Consider the following 16495-nt stretch of genomic DNA (forward strand, 5'->3'; position numbering starts at 1 on the left):
GTCATGTGACGTTCTACTAGAGTCAGGTTGGAATTTGATATCTTATTGCTACATGGATTTTCTTCTGTCAGTCTTAAGATCTACATTTTAATGTTAAAGCTGGTCAGTTGTGCCTGAATTCCAGGGGAGGAGGGTATAAGGAGGCATGTCGGACACCCACTTCCCATCATGGTCTGAACCAGTTTATTTTGAAATCCCCTTGGCCAAGAGGAGGGTGCCTTCAGTCAGGGGACTTTGAATTTTATTTTTGGTTTACAGAGGACATTGTGACAAGGTGGCCATTTGCAACCCAGGAAGTGAGGCCTCACCAGAACCCGACCATGCTGGCACCTGATTTTGGACTTACAGCCTCCAGAACTATGAGAAAATCCATCTCTTTTGGTTTAAGCCACCAAGTCTGTGATATTATGTTATGGCAGCCTGAGTGACTAACACATCACCTGAGGTGAAGTAGCCCCCATTATATTCTTCATCAAGACACCTTGCATTTTCCCTTTATAGCAACCATTCCAATCTGTGGGAATTTTGCTGATGGTCCTTCTGAAGGTCAGGCTTGGCCAGGTCAGAACAATGACCCTTTCATGTATCATTCACCTCTATGGCCCTTTCCCCACCCCATGGAAAGCACTGCAGAGCAAAAATAGGTGAGCAACAAAGACCTATTAGAAAAATAATTTCAGGATGTCAATCCTGTTAGATGACTTTAAAATTAATACTTTCTATATTTGCATAAGGGTGGATTATTTTATACTCACATGGTCTTAACATATCCACTCAGAAACCCTGTGAAATGGTGGGCCGGCACCGAGGTATCCAGAGAGTTATGTCCTATTTCAGGAGGAGAAAGCCAAATATTCAAAGCAGAGAGAAACCTCACTCTTCAGTTTTCTTTGTGAAGAGAGCACTCTGAGGATCTGTTTCATAAATAATAAAGAATGACAGACACAAAGAGGGAGAAGCAGGAAAAGATACAAAGACAAAGAGGAAAGGGGAAGCAGTATGGAAGAAAACAGGCCAGGCAGGAGCAGGAAGAGAAAGCGTGGAAAGTTGCAGAGATGCAGAGGCCAAGGGTTGGAGAATGAGCCAGGGGGAGCAGAAAAAATAAGCATGGAATGTCACAGAGATGCAGGGGCCACAGGGTGGAGAGTGAGGCCAGGGGCAGCATAAAGAGTAAGCATGGAAAGTCTCAGAGATGCAGGGGCTGTGGAGTGGAGAGTGAGGCCAGGGGGAGCATAAAAAAGCATGGAATGTCACAGAGATGCAAGGGCCGCGAGGTGGAGAGAGAGGCCAGGCAGGACTGTAAAGAGTAAGCATGGAAAGTCTCAGAGATGCAGGGGCTGAGGGGTGGAGAGCAAGGACACTTGTGATAGAGTGGGAAGTTCAAAAACCCAGAGAGGGAGCAGGAGCGGTCCTTTCATAATAAGATGTTTGGGGCATCAGACTGTTAGAGTTGGTATTTAGGCAGACATGAGCAGGGCAGAAGAGGGCCCCCTGCCCCAGGGATGTCAGGTGACCATCAGGTGATAGCCAGGTTGTTGTTAAGCTGTCTCTAATTGGCCATGCCTGGCACTAGGGAAAGGCTGTCTTCCAGTAGACAGGAAACATCTGAAGCTGGTGATCAGCTTCCTGATAGGATCTCAGGAGCTGGATGAGTGGGCCCAAGTATGTGCACTAAATGGCAAAATGGCAGAGTTTAACTGGTATGTGACCTTCCTCTAGGAATGCTTACCTGGAAAGGGTAATGATCTTGCACACAATTTCAGCAAACACACTGTGCATGCTCCTCTCCCAAGTGCTGGCAGGCCACTGCATGGGAGCAGCCTGCTGCAAGGGAAGAATCAGGGAAGAAGAAATGTGGACCCTGGAGTCATGTCATACAAGACCCCACCCAAGTCGAGGGTCAGACAGAGCACTTGAATCTCTCAAGTCGCCTGCTTGGCCCTTTCCAACTGTACTTTACTCCCTTTCATTCCTTCTCTAAAACTTTTTAGTAAACTTTTACTCCTGCTCTAAAACTTGCCTCAGTCTCTCACCCTGCCTGCTGCCCCTTGGCTGTATTCTTTCTTCTGCAAGGCAAGAATTGAGTTGCTGCAGACTTGTACAGATCCACCCCTGCTAACAAGACTAGACCGCAGCCTCCAAAGGCAGCCCCCACAGTGGGCGACTGCTGACATGGGGGTCTGGGGAATGATGACCTCAGTCACAAATTTGCCTTAGACTGATATATCATATGCACTTAAATGTTTATAGAATGGCTGGCAGGTGCCATGAACCAGGGGCAAGGAAAGGCTTGGGTTGCCCCAAGGTTCAGAACCTCAAGAGCAGTTCTAAAGTAGATAGTTCTTTCTCTTAGCATGGTGGCCAATTCCAAGGGAAGATGCTCTGAATAGGATGGCCTCCTGTATTTGGGAGCTGAGACTGCTTGGGATTGCTCAGCCAGCTCACTTGCAGACTGAACACTGAAGCTGTGTGTGTGACCTCCAGGACAGCCCCAATTTCTATGCCCATGACCATGTGTTGCATATAGTTTCTTTCTTCTTCATTATCAGGAGCTACTTTCTATCTGGCTCGACAGGACAATGTGCCCGATCATGTGGAGATCAAACATGTTCCCCGAATGTTGAGTATGCAGTGTGTGCACACACACAACCCATGCCTTAGATATATGACTTGTCTTCGTGAATCGTGAAAGCATACCTTTTCTTCCCTCAGCTTGCCTTTCCAGAATAACAATAAGGTAAAGCCCACATGGCTCCCAAATAGGATCTTTGGGGATTATAATTATCTAATAATTGACACCAAAGTGATCCTCCCGACTTGAAGTGGGAGGAAATTTGGATTTCTAAACTAGGGCAAACGCTTCTTATGAAGCATCAATGTGTGTTGTGTTCCCTATTCTCTTTGCTTTAAAAAATAAAGAGAATTATATTTCTTTTTCTTCAGGCAACTTTGCAGACTATCAAAAGACATAGATATCTGAAAACTGTATCTGCCTATTCCCTGTTAGCCGTCATTTGGAAATAAATTTGATCCTTGGTTACTGCTTGACATAATGTACAGGTGACCAGCAGGAGGGAAACCAAAGTATAAACAGATCCAGTCTGTTGACAGGGATTGAATGATGCAGCAACTTGATTGCATTGAGCCATTTAAACTTTCTTTTTCTTTTTTAAGCTACAGGTTGAATTAAAAAAATGAAGTAAACTCGAGAAATCCATTAAGCCAGATTAGTATTGAACTCCAGTCAAGACCGTCACCTGTGGTCATTAGATCTGGCTGTGGGTGAAACAAAAAGTAAAGTCTGACTCCTGCTTCTCATATCCACACTTATCCAAATCACCTGAGATTAAAGAAAATCCTTTAACTGGTGTTAGAGAGGGGACCTAAGGTAGAAGATGTAAAGCATGAACTACCTACAGTGATGCCTTGACACCATAGAACCAAAAGCTCCAGACTTCTGTTCTGAGGATGGAAACGCGGTTCAGCTGGACTTAACTGTGCTTAGAACCCCACACTGGATGTGTATGGTTCCCCTAGGAGGACCAGTAGGGAGGCTTACAGAGAGGAGCCACAATGATAGAAAGCAGTGACTGCTGGGCTAATTAATAACGATAACTGTGAAAGGTCATGAGTGGAGAATTGAAGAAAAGAGGAAACTAATATTTAAATGCCTCCCAATGTGTGATGCTTAATTCAGAGAATGAAGTCCAAGTCTGCAAGCAGTAGATTTTGCATTAAATGAACTGAAATTGGAATAGGACTCAGTGGGCATTTCATTTTGCCTTGGTCTTAGGTTAAGTAATTAAAATCAACATCAGGTTGTGCCTGAAAGGTACAGCAACTGAGCAACGGCTAACTGTTGTAGCGGCAAAATTAGCAGAGGATCAAAGAGAATTTCAGAGTTTCTTGCCAGAGTAGATATGCATAAAATTCTATCCTCTGGTCCAACAAAATACATACAGGGTACAATTAAATTTAGCTAAGTAAATTAAGTATAAATTAACTGATTTTTTTATTTCTTACACTGTATTAACATTTATCAAGACTTTGACCAAAAAGTAGAGATTTTATAGTTGGAAGGGACCCAGGTGATTAGCCTATCCCCCGTCCTCCATTAAGAGCTTCACCCTCACCATTTCTCATTTCCCTAGACACATCATTGTTCACACTCTACTTGAATCATCCCAGAGACAGAGAACTCACTACCACTCCCTTCCACTTTTGAAATGACAGTGGGAAATGTGTTGAATTCATAGAAGAGAATGATCAATTGTCAGATTCAAGACAGACATTGAAAAATGAAAAAGTTACGAAGAGGGGATTTCAGAATGAGTGCATTCTAGTGATCACACGTGAGGTGAACCCCAAAACATTGTAATGCTAGAAAGTGGAACATTGTGTGGCCTATGCTCACAGCATCATTGTGCGGGAAGAAACTGGGAGAAGGGCTATCATTCTTTGAAGGGTGGCTTTTCTAGCAAGGATCGACTTCCATTTCTTTGCTTCCAGTGAAGAAGGTTGAGCTCATCCCAAAAGGCTAGGATGAATAGAAGTGGAATTTCTTTGAGAGCTTACATTGTTGAATGGTTTGGATCATGGCAGTAGTCTCCTAACTCACCTACCATCAGTCCTGCAAACTCTGTTAAATTTTATCCATTCAGCATCTAGAGATTAGATATTATTTTAAAAATATTTTTATAATAAAGGATTACTTTATGAACAATAATGTGCACAGGTCTTACCATCTTAAGTATCTATTTCAATGAGTTTTGTCAACGGTGTGTGCTCCTGTGATCGTCCACCCAAGGCATGATATAGAATACTTTTGCCATGAAACCCCTAAACAAAAAGTTCCCTAGTCTCCTTTCCAGTTGATACCCTTAGTCTGGAAAGGCAAGCACCTTCTGATTCTGTCACTGCAGGTGAGTTTATCTGTGTTCTTCGATCTCATACAAATGAAAGCACACAGAATGCCTACTTTGGGCAATGGCTTTATTTTTGTGACTCAGTCATGGTATTGTGTATTAGCAGTAGTCCTTGCCTTTTTATTGCCAAGAAGCATTTTATGAATATACTTCAATGTGTTTATCTACTCATCTGTTGATGGACATTTATGTCCAGTTATGAGCTATTATAAACAAGGCTGTTGTGAACACTCTTGTACAAGTCTTTTTGTGGACACAGATTTTCATCTCTCTTAGGTGAATCTCAAGAGGGCAGACTTGTTGGGTTATAGGGGACTTGTATATTTTTTATAGAAAACTGCCAAAAAGTTCTCCAAGGTGCTATTCTACCCTCCTGCCAGCAACATATGAGAGTTTCTATCACTCTGTGTCCTTGCCAACATAGGGTATTGTCAGTCATTTTCACTTCGGTCTTACTAGTGAATGTGAAATCGTATCTTGCTTTAATCTAGTTTTTCCTAATGACTAATGGGGTTAAATGCCTTTTCATGTGCTTACTAGCCATTTTATGTCTTCTTTTGTGAAGTGCCTGTTAAAGTCTTTTTCCCACTCTTTTAATTGGAGTGTTTGTCTTTTTATTATTGATTTTTTGGAGTCATTTAAACATTCCGGATATGAGTCCTTTGTTAGACAAATGTGTTATGGATATTTTCTTCTCTGTGGTTGTGTATTCATTTGCCAAATGGTGTCTTTTAAATAGCAAATTTTTTTATGAATCCCATGTAACCTTTATTTTTCCTTTTTGCCTTTATGTTTTCTTCTAGAAGTTTTATGGCTATAGCTTTTACATTTCAGTTTATTACATGTTATTGTAATTATTATTTTGGAGTGGAGCAAGGCGAGGTCAAGCATTTATTTTCCCCTGGATACAGCTGTCCATTTGTTTCTGCAGTATTTGTTTAAAGCGCTTTCTTTTCTCCATTGAGTTGACTTGATGCCTTTCTCAAAAATCAATGTATGGGTCTCTTTCTGTACCTTTCATTCTTTCCACTGATGGAGGTATATTCTATTTTTGTGCCAGTATCAACTCATCCTGATTACTATAACTTTATGTAAACCTTGAAGCAGAAATTATAAGTCCTGTGACTTTGTTTTTTTAAGATTATTCTATTTTAGATCCTTTGAATTTCCATATAAATTATAGCATTAGCTTTTCAATTGATGCAAAAAACCTGATATTATTTTCACTGGGATTGTGTTTTATCTATGAATCAACTTGAGGAGAATAGGCATCTTAACAATATTAGTTTATCAGGCTGTGAGCATTTATTTAGTTTTTAAAATTAATTTGTATTATTACAATACAACATACACTTGGGTTGCATAGAATGTTTCAGTCAATGATGAACTGCATAATCAACGGTGGTCTCACAAGAATATAGTACCATATTTTACTGTGTTGAGATATGTTCAGATACACAAATACCATTTTGTTACAATTGCCTACAGCATTCAGTATAGTTACATGCTGTACAGGTTTGTAGCCCAGGAGCAATAGGCTCTACCAGATATAGCCTAGGTGTGTTGTAACCTGAACCATCTGGGTTTGTGTAAGTATAGTCTATGATGTTTCTATAAGGACAAAATCATATAATGACCCATTTCTCAGTAGATATCCTGCTTGTTAAGAGATAAATGACTGTATTATAGTTTTCAGTGATGAGGTCTTACAGATCTTTTGTTAGATTATTCTAGGTATTTAATATTTTGGAATGCCACTGTAAATATATATGTATACAGGTTAAAATGTTCGTTTTCCCATTGTTACTGCTTGTATATTGGAAATACACTTGAGTTTGGTGTATTTATATTCTGTAACCTTTGTAAATTCAATTAAGTCTAGTAGTTTTTCTTTGCAGATTCTATTGATTTTTTTTCATTTACACAATTGTGTCTGTAGTAGGGACAGATACACATTGTTTTTCTCAGTGATTATAGTTTCTTTATTTTTTCTTATTTCAACAGCTAAGACCTCTAGTACAGTGTTCAATGGAACTGGTGAGAAAAGACGTCCTTGCTGTGTTCCTGATATGAAGAGGAAAGCAGTCCTTCTCCATTAAGTAAAGTATAAACCTTAGGTTTTTCATAGATGTCCTTTGTCAGATTTCGAAATTTCTCTGCTATTCTCATTTTGCTGAAAGTTTTAAAAAATTATTTAAATAACGGATTTTGAATTTTGTCAAGTACATTTTATGCATTTATTGAAATAATTATATGGTTATTCTTCTTAATTTCATTTATGTAGTGAGTTATACCAATTGAGTTTTGAATGTTGAAACCACCAGAATTCCTGGGTTAAGCTCTATTCAGTTATGATAAATTTTATATATTGCCATATTTGCTGATATTTTGCGATTGTACTATGAAGGATATTGGTCTGTAATTTTATTTGTTTGATTTGTCATGTTTTGCTACTATGGTTATGCTGCCCTAAAACAAGTGGAGGAACTGTTCCTTCTTCCTTTTTCTCCTCTTTAAAAGAATATACATTTGGTATTATTTTCTTTCTCCAACATTGGATAGCATTCACAGTGAAGTTATCTGGATGATATTTAACTCTTGGAAAGTTTTTGATTACAAATTCAAATTCTTTAAAAGATATCGATCATTTAGATATACTAATTCTTGTGTCACTTTTGTTGGCTGTGTTTTTCAAAGAATGTTTCCATTTTATCTGACTCGTTAAGTTTATTGATAAAACATCATTCCTCCTGTTATTCTTTTAATGTCTGTAGAATGTCTGGTAATATTGCCTCTTACGGTCTTCATATTGGTGATTTATATGTTCTCCATTTTTCTTATAAGTCTTAATAGAAGTTTGTAAATTGTATTAATCTTTTCACAGAACCAAACTTTGACCTTTGATTTTCTCTATTGTTTCTTTGTTTTCTATTTCTTTGACTACCACCCATTTTAAAATCACTTGCTTTATTTAACTTCCTTCAGTTAAACATGTTCTTTTTCTAGCTAATTAAGTCGAAAGCTCAGTTCGCTGATTTTAAACCTTCCTTTAAGTATATATATACATCTATAAAGATATAAGTTACCTCTAGACATCAATTCAGCAGCATCCTAAAATTTTGATATTTTATTATTTGTCTTGTTATTCAGTAGATCTGATTTCAATTTTTCCTTGTCATTTATTCGTTGATATACATTATTTAGAGGCATTTTAACAAATTTCAAACCATTTTAAGGTTTTCTAGAAATCATATTATTTTCTTAGGTTATACCATTTTAATTAGAGAACATACTCTGTGCGTTTCAATGTTCTGCATTTATAGGGACTTGTTTTTATGGCCCAGCATTGCTTTATCTTGTTGGCTGTTCAATGGGTATTTAAATACTTACGTTGATTGAGAATGTTGAGCAAATTTTTATAACCTTATAAATTTATTGTTTAGTTGTTCTAGTAATTACTGAGAGAGAAGTGGTAAAACCTCTAACTAATATTGTGGATTTGTCTGTTTCTCTCATTTCGCTGTGAATTTTTACTTAAATTTTCACAATCTTGTTTTTTTTTTTTTTTGCCTAATATGTAGCACTGTTACATCTTATCAATTAACACTTAACATAATTATGAAATTTCCCTCATTGTCTTTATTAATACCACTTACATAGAAATTTTTTTCTGATATTAATGTAATTTTCTTATGTTTATTTTTTGCCCAATATATGTTTATCCACACATTACTTTTAACCCGTATGTCTATAGTTAAAGAATGTTTTTAGTAAATAGCATATAGTTGTATCTTCATTTTTTTTCCTTGAAACTGACAATCTCTGCCTTTCACATGTTTAGTCTACTAACAGTGTCGTAGTCAATAAGATTGTATTTCAGTCTATTATTTTGTCATTTAAAAAGATGGTCCCATTTATTCTTTGTTGTTCTCTTCCTTCTTTCCTATCTTCTTTTGGGTTAACTAAATATTTTTGTAGTATTCCATTTAATCTCCTTTTTTTTTTTAAAAAAAGCAATTATTTTAACATTTAGTGGTTCTATATATCACAATATTTATCTTTAAATTATCAAACACATCTTCAAATAATAATTTGCCATGTCATGAACAATGTGAATTTTTTTTTTTAGACTGAGTCTTGCTCTGTCACCAGGCTACAGTGCAGTGGCACGATGTTGGCTCACTACAATCTCTGCCTCCCAGGTTCAAGCAATTCTCCTGCCTCAGAATCCTGAGTAGCTGGGATTACAGGCGCCCGCCACCACGTCCAGCAAATTTTTGTATTTTTAGTAGAGACGGGGTCTCACCATGATGGTGTCGATCTCCTGACCTCGTGATCCGCCCGCCTCAGCCTCCCAAAGTGTTGGGATTACAGGCGTGAGCCACCGTGCCCCACAATGTGAATATTTTATAACCACATAACTCTATTTATTTCCTACACTACTCTGTCCTCTTAGTGTCATGTATTTTACCTCTGTATGTTATGCACCTGCAATACTTTTATTCGTGCTTTAAGCAGCTCATAGTGTGGTATAATTTCTCATAATCCTAAACAAGGTCTGTTAGCATTTTTTTTGGCAGCACATATCTGCTGGATGTGAATTATTTCAGCTTTTGTCTACATAAAAAAGTCTTTATATTTCTTAATTTTGAAGTATATTTTAACAGGATAGTATACTGTAGATTGGGAGGTTTTTTTTTCTCTTAGACTTTTAAAAATATTGTTTCATTGTTTTGGGCCACCACAGTTCTTATTGTGAAGTAGCTTACATTCTTTTTAGTGCTTCACTGTATGCAATATCTTTTCTTTCCCCTGTGGATGCTTTTAAGATGTCTTCTCTGTCTTTGATATCATCAGTTTGAGTATGTTATTCTTAGTTGCAGTTTTCTTTGTATCTATCCTGTTTGGGGTTTGCTGAGATTCTTGGATCTCTAGATTGATGTCTTTCATCCCTTTCTAGTAATTTCCAACAATGATTTCAAATATTTTTCTTCATTCTTTATTTCCAATTTTGGGGGGCTTCAATCACACTTATATTAAATACTTCATATTGACTCACAGTTGTCATTCTCTAACATTTAAAAAAATTGCTCTTTTTGGAATATAAATCGTTCTATTACAAAGGCACATGCATATTATGTTCATTGTGGCACCATTCACAATAGCAAAGACATGGAATCAAACGAAATGCCCATCAATGGTATGCTGGGTAAAGAAAATGTACATATACACCATGGAATACTATGTGGCCATAAGAAAGATCAAGATTATGTCCTTTGCAGGAACATGGAGGGAGCTGGAGTCCATTTTCCTAAGTGAACTAACACAGGAACAGAAAACCAAAGACTGTAGGTTCTCACTTATAAGTGGGAGTTAAATGGTGAGAACACGTGGATACATAGAGTGGAACAACACATACTGGAGCCTATTGAAGGGTGGAGGGTGGGAAGAGGGAGAGGATCCAGAAAAATAACTATTGGTACTCAGCTTAATACCTGGGTGATGAAATAATCTATACAACAAACCCCCATGTTACAAGCTTACCTATACTACAAACTTGTACATGTACCCCTGAACTTAAAAATTAAATTTAAAAAATTGCTTTTACTCTCTTTGTGTTGCAGATAGAATAATTTCTAATGTCCTTTCTTCAAGTTTCCAAATCCTTCTGATATCCAGTCTATAAAATTAATAAAATATTTTTTTGTATCATGTTATTCAATTATTGAATTTCCAATTGTTATTTAAGGGTTTGAATATTCTGCAAAATTTTTCTACCTATCTACTAGACCTTTAACACATTTTTCATAGTGATATTAAAGTCCTTATCTATTAATTCAATGATTAGGTTATCTGTGGATTTACTTCTAATGACTGTTTTCTCTCTTGAAAATGGTTCACCTTTTCCTCCTTTCTATGTCTCATAATTTTTAATCCTATTCTAGATATTGCCTGTATGAAGACAGTAGATATTGAATAAATATCTACTGGAAAGGTGGTGTGCCTCTTCTTTTGTCAGGACACAAGTGTTGGCAGCTGAGTAGATCCAATCTGCCTTAGAGCTGGGTCTAGGCTTTCATAAGACTCATCCCGATAGGGAATTAATTCATTTAGGCTTGTCTCATTTTTACCTCTCTGGTGGGTCTTTAAAAACTGATTTTGTGGTCCATCTGTCTTGTTCTCATCGTTCATGTGGTATTAACTACCTCTTGCAACTTTCTGCATTCTTGTGATAACAGATTTCTATTAACTTTGTTGTTATTATGATGTGATGATTTTACCAACTGCAACAACTATTTTAATCCATGTTAACTCATTAAACTGTAACAGAAATCATAGGCAGGGTGTGTTGCTCTATGAAAATTGAGGGGATGGGGCTATGAAAACTTGTGGGCTTGGAAGAGAACTGTGCTATTTCTTATTGAACAAAATAATGATTAATGGCAGGGACTGTTGGAAACCAGCTGGTTTCCATACCTGCTTTAAAAGCAACACTCAACTTTAAGAAGCAATAGACTGGATAGAGAAACTGTGGTATATATACATATAGTCTTAAAGAGAATAACGGAGTATGTCCAAGAGGAGACAAACTGGGGGAAGGGAAAAAGGTAGAAAGGAAGGGGAGAAAGAACGGGAAAGGGAGGAAGAGGAGGAGGAAATAGCAAAAGAGAAAGAGGAGGAGAAAGCGGAGGAGGAGAAGAACTGATGGAGGGAGGGAGAGAGAAAGAGAACCTTCATACAATTCAAACCCCTACAGTGGTCATCTCTGAATACCAATCCCTTGGGCTTCTCAATTATGAGTTCTTACATTCCCTGTTTTGACCGAGACTGGTTTGAGTTTCGTCCCAGTTTAGCAACTGAAAGGATTTTAACTATAAATTGATTACTTTCTGTTCAGTGGCTGTATCTTAACCTATTTTTACATCTAGTTAAAGTAGAAGTTGGCAAATTGTAACCAATGGGCCAAATCTGGCCCACTCTCTGCTTTTATATAGCCCATGAGCTAAGAATAAGAATAGTCATTGCATTTTAGAATGGTTGAAAGATGAAAGAATATGACATTCGTAAGGCATATGAAATTCAAATGTCAGTGTCTTAAATAAAGTTTTTTTGGAACACAGCCAAGCCATTCATTAATGTATCATCTATAGCTACCTTATTCTCATACACGTGAGGCAGAATTGAGAAGCTGAACTGAGACTGGATGGCTCACAAAGCCTAAAATATTCACCATCTGCCCCTTTACAGAAAATGTTTGCCAATCCCTGACCTAAAGAACCTACTGCAGAAAGCATTGGCATTACTGGGGCCGTTAAGAAGATACCCTTTATTTAGGGATGAGAAGGGGTCAGAAAGCCCCATGTTCATTCTAGAATTGCCCCTTAAAGCTCTGACCTCACAGTCTCTGCCTCCCTCACCTTTCTTTGCCTCTCTCTGTTTGGGCACCAGCATGTTCCAGGCTCTGTGGTTGGGGGCGGGGATGCAGTGGGGAGCAGTCACGAGTGAAAATTGCACTTGACTGAAGGTCCAGAGACCATTTACTCACCATGCAATTCCTGGAAACTCACCCAACCCCTCTGACCTCCAGATAGTGAAGTGGGGTACTTAATGACACCCTTTTCCTAGGTTAACTGGGAAGATCAAGTGCATAATGATACATGTCTGTTACATAGAAATGGGCAGCAAATGCTTCCTCTCACTAGTATTGTGAGAAGCAGTGAGATAAACTTTGGGACAGCACTTTGTAAATGATAATGCACAGCTGAAGGGAAGTAAATATAATGTTATAATAATGGCTACATGTTTAGTTAGGACCTAAATGACTTCAGAGTCACTACATTTTCCCCCCTTTGATTAAATAATTTTATATTGCAAACCTAATCGATGCCCTTGAAAAATTTAGAATAGTGCAAAAATATAAACAATGAAAAGCAAGACTCCACTGTCCCTCACACATTCTTCCCAAGGGCAGATGAGGTTGTTATTTTTATACACTTCAGAAATGGTCTCTGCACATATCACTAGTGAATATTTGGGGTGTGTGTATGTATTTGTGTGTATGTGCCTATACCACCATCTCTTTTTCATATCAATGACCATAACATAACCTGATCTTTACTTGACTGCATTTACTTAAAAAAATTATTACATTCACCAGGGATATGTTCAAGAATGTCTAAAGCAGTACTATTTGAAATAGCTAAAAACTGGAGAGGACCTAAATATCTGTCAACATGAGGATGAGTCAGCAAATTGTATATTTATACAATAGAATGTTATCCATTGATGAGAATGAATGAAGTACAAATGTAAATGGCCCCAGGACTTAGCTATGAGGTCACAAGTTAGGACAGTGGTCATCCTGTGTAAGAGAGACCCTGGATGGGTGCCTACAATGTCCTACTCCCTGTAGCTGTTGGCTGCCCAATGTGTAGACTTTGTGAAAATTCATCATCACATATGGTTTGTGCACATTTCTGTAAGCATGATTTTCTTCAATAAAATTCATGCTAGAAATTTAAAAAAACATATCTTGGAAGTCAATTTCAGAACATATGGGTTTGCCGCCTTCTCTTTCATAGCTGTAGACACCTTTATTGTACGGACAAATGGCATTTTCCCTCAGACTCCCACCCTCTCATGCACACTTGTTTCTGGCTATTTGCTGTTGAGTGCATTTTCCAAGATATTTTCTAATCACCCTTCTAAACAGAAGCAGGTTGTTATGAGCACAGACAGATGATACCTTGGTGCATGGGACCAATTCTGCCCTGCAGATGCCAAGAGGGAGCTCAGCCTGTTCCAGGCCACCACACAGGTGTGTGGAGCCCTGACCCTTTGTGAACCAACAATGGCATCGTGTGGGCAGACATGCTGCCTGCATGGACGCATTGCTGCTAATGGGTATTCCCAAGGCATGGGTTGTTATTTGCATTTTCTCATTGTCACGAGCACCCAATGTTCTGAATATTAATGAAACAATTTCCAGCCTCCTTTGCAGGCTTAAAATATTGAGCATCAGACATACTGCTTTGTTCCCATTTCAGCCAAGTTTAATTTCTCTTAACCAGCTTTGTTGTTGTAAAGTAAAATTAATGTATGATTTCAGTGTTTAAATCTCAATTCTCGGCAATTCACGACAGATTGCAAGTGAATGTGATTTGTTCGTTAACACCTAATGGGTTGAAATAATTTATTGCACAAACATTTCCAGGAAAACGAAGCCACTTGAGCAAGAGCAAAGCAGGAAATGTTACTTGTTTATCTAATAAACTACCCTAGGGTGAGCGAGTACATTAGCATTGCACAAACTTTGTGACTTATTTATCATCACTATTTATTATTAAAACTTTATCTGCTTCAACTTAGTGAATGGCTGCCTTGGGATATACCGCTTGCAGCAACAACAACAAAATAAAGTTTATGCAATTTGCATAATATTGTACAAAGAATATTAGCTTAGAACAATATGAATCCCTGGATCATTTGCACAGCCCTTTGGTGTTTAATGTTGGTAAATATTTAAATAACAGCAAGCCTGTATAATTATAAAGATTTCTCTTTCTAATCTGCCCTGGATGTACAGCTGTTGTAAATCACCACATTCATGTGATTTGACTGGGAGAATGTTAGGGATGATGAAAAAGCACTTGTTGCTTATGCTGGCAAAGATGATGGAGACAGAAGCACCTGCAGGAGAAGTCTGAGACAAGATGCTGAGGTCTTGCTGTATTTCCTTTTTGATGGTTTACGACAGCGTTGGTGTTTCACATGAACTGGGTCCTGCATAGAGTAAGCATGCAGGAGATGGGTCTCTACAGTTCCAGCTCCTCTTTCATGAATGGAATATTTGCCTATTAAGAAAAAATATGATTCATACCCCTGGGCTTTTGCACATGCTATTTTCTCTCTGGGTCATTCTCCCTATGTGTCACCTGCTCACCTCCTAGTTGTGGCTCACTCATCCTTTTGGTTTCAGCGTAAACCTCTGCATTCTTTGTGATGCCCACTTGCCCCTGCTGGGTCTAGCTTGGTCTCCCTATTAAGCACCTTCTTGATGCTTTGCATTGCTCTCTCATAGCTGAGTCGCTCAAATGTCTTTTTTCTCCACTGGACTCTGAGCCCCATGAAGCGGGGGGATGTGTCTATGTTGGCCAGTGTGGCAAATGGTAAATCCTGATTTACAGTTTTGTTGAATTAAAAAAATGAATAACTGAATGCCTATAGTAATCCATTTAAAGAAGTGTCTGCATAAGCCATCATCACAGGCTATGTTAACCTTTCATATTAGACACATTAAAAATGAATGCTGGCTGGGCGCAGTGGCTCACGCCTGTAAACCCTGCACTTTGGGAGGCCGAGGCAGGTGGATCACCTGAGGTCAGGAGTTCAACACCAGCCTGGCCAACATGGTGAAACCCTGTCTCTACTAAAAATACAAAAAATTAGCCTGGTATGGTGGCGTGTTCCTGTAGTCCTAGCTACTTGGGAGGGTGAGGCATGAGAATTGCTTGAACCTGGGTTGCAGAGATTGCAGTGAGCCGAGATCGTGCCACTGCACTCCAGCCTGGGCAACAGAGTGAGACTCTGTCTGAAAAACAGTAAAAAAAGAATGCTATGCTAATATGCTAATGCCTTATGTTGGTGAGAGTCTGCAGATGTGGGAGCTCTGAAATAATTCACAAGAACACTTTAGATGCGTGAGGCAAAAGTCTTAAAGTGATTATTTTATTTTTGGCTCAGCAAATACGTTTGTGGGAATTTACCCTAAAGCAGTAATTTGGGAACGTGTGGACATATTTAGGACCAAGGATATTCATCACAATGTCGTTTAAAATTGTGAGAAATTGTAAACAACTTAAATGGTCAACGGTAGAGAATTAGCTGAGAGAGTTGTAATTTATCTAAATGACAGAATACTATGAAGGTATTAAAATAATGATTTAGAAATATGTTAATGACATGGAAGAGGTTTATGATATACTCTGGGGTGAATAAAGCAAATATCAAGCCTTATGAAACTATGATTCCATTTTTTGAAATAGCATTTATGTAGGCAAATGACTAGAAACTTATATTAAAATGTTAAGTCATTTTCTGTGGTTTGGCATGATTTTGTTTTTAATGTGATACTTTTCAAAATCAAAAGCAAAATGAGACAAATAAACCTATGCATTGAGTTGTTGGTTTAACCCTCACAGAGGGACATCAGTTAAGTTACTATAAAAAACAGTTACTTGGCTGTACATCTTAATGGAATATACGTTAAGGACGTAAATAACATCAAAGAAATTTTATTTTCTTTTCAGTAATTATACTGTTAATAATAACTTTGGTATTTTGTTTGGAAACTACTTAAGTAAATTCTAGGAGAAATCAAATTATGTTAACATGAACAAGAAATAATATATTTAGCTTAAGAGAGAAAAATATAAAAGAATTGAAATAAAAACCCTGCAACCTTAAATTTGAATTGAAAATATCAGCATAGATGCCCAATATACTTTCACTTAAAAGATACATTTTCCGCCTCTGTCAACTGAGCAAACCCTGAAAGAACTTAACTAGTA

General features: G+C 37.9%; 1 long non-coding RNA gene across 1 annotated transcript in view; it reads left to right on the plus strand.

Annotated features, from left to right (window-relative positions):
• MIR646HG (MIR646 host gene) overlaps nt 1-16495 on the plus strand; it is a 183765-nt gene that overhangs the window by 8986 nt on the left and 158284 nt on the right. The window contains exon 2 of the long non-coding RNA NR_046099.1: nt 6930-7029. This is a non-coding gene — a long non-coding RNA (MIR646 host gene). The remainder of the gene's footprint in view (nt 1-6929; nt 7030-16495) is intronic.

Source organism: Homo sapiens, chromosome 20 (assembly GCF_000001405.40).
Source record: "Homo sapiens chromosome 20, GRCh38.p14 Primary Assembly".
Lineage (NCBI taxonomy): Eukaryota > Metazoa > Chordata > Mammalia > Primates > Hominidae > Homo > Homo sapiens.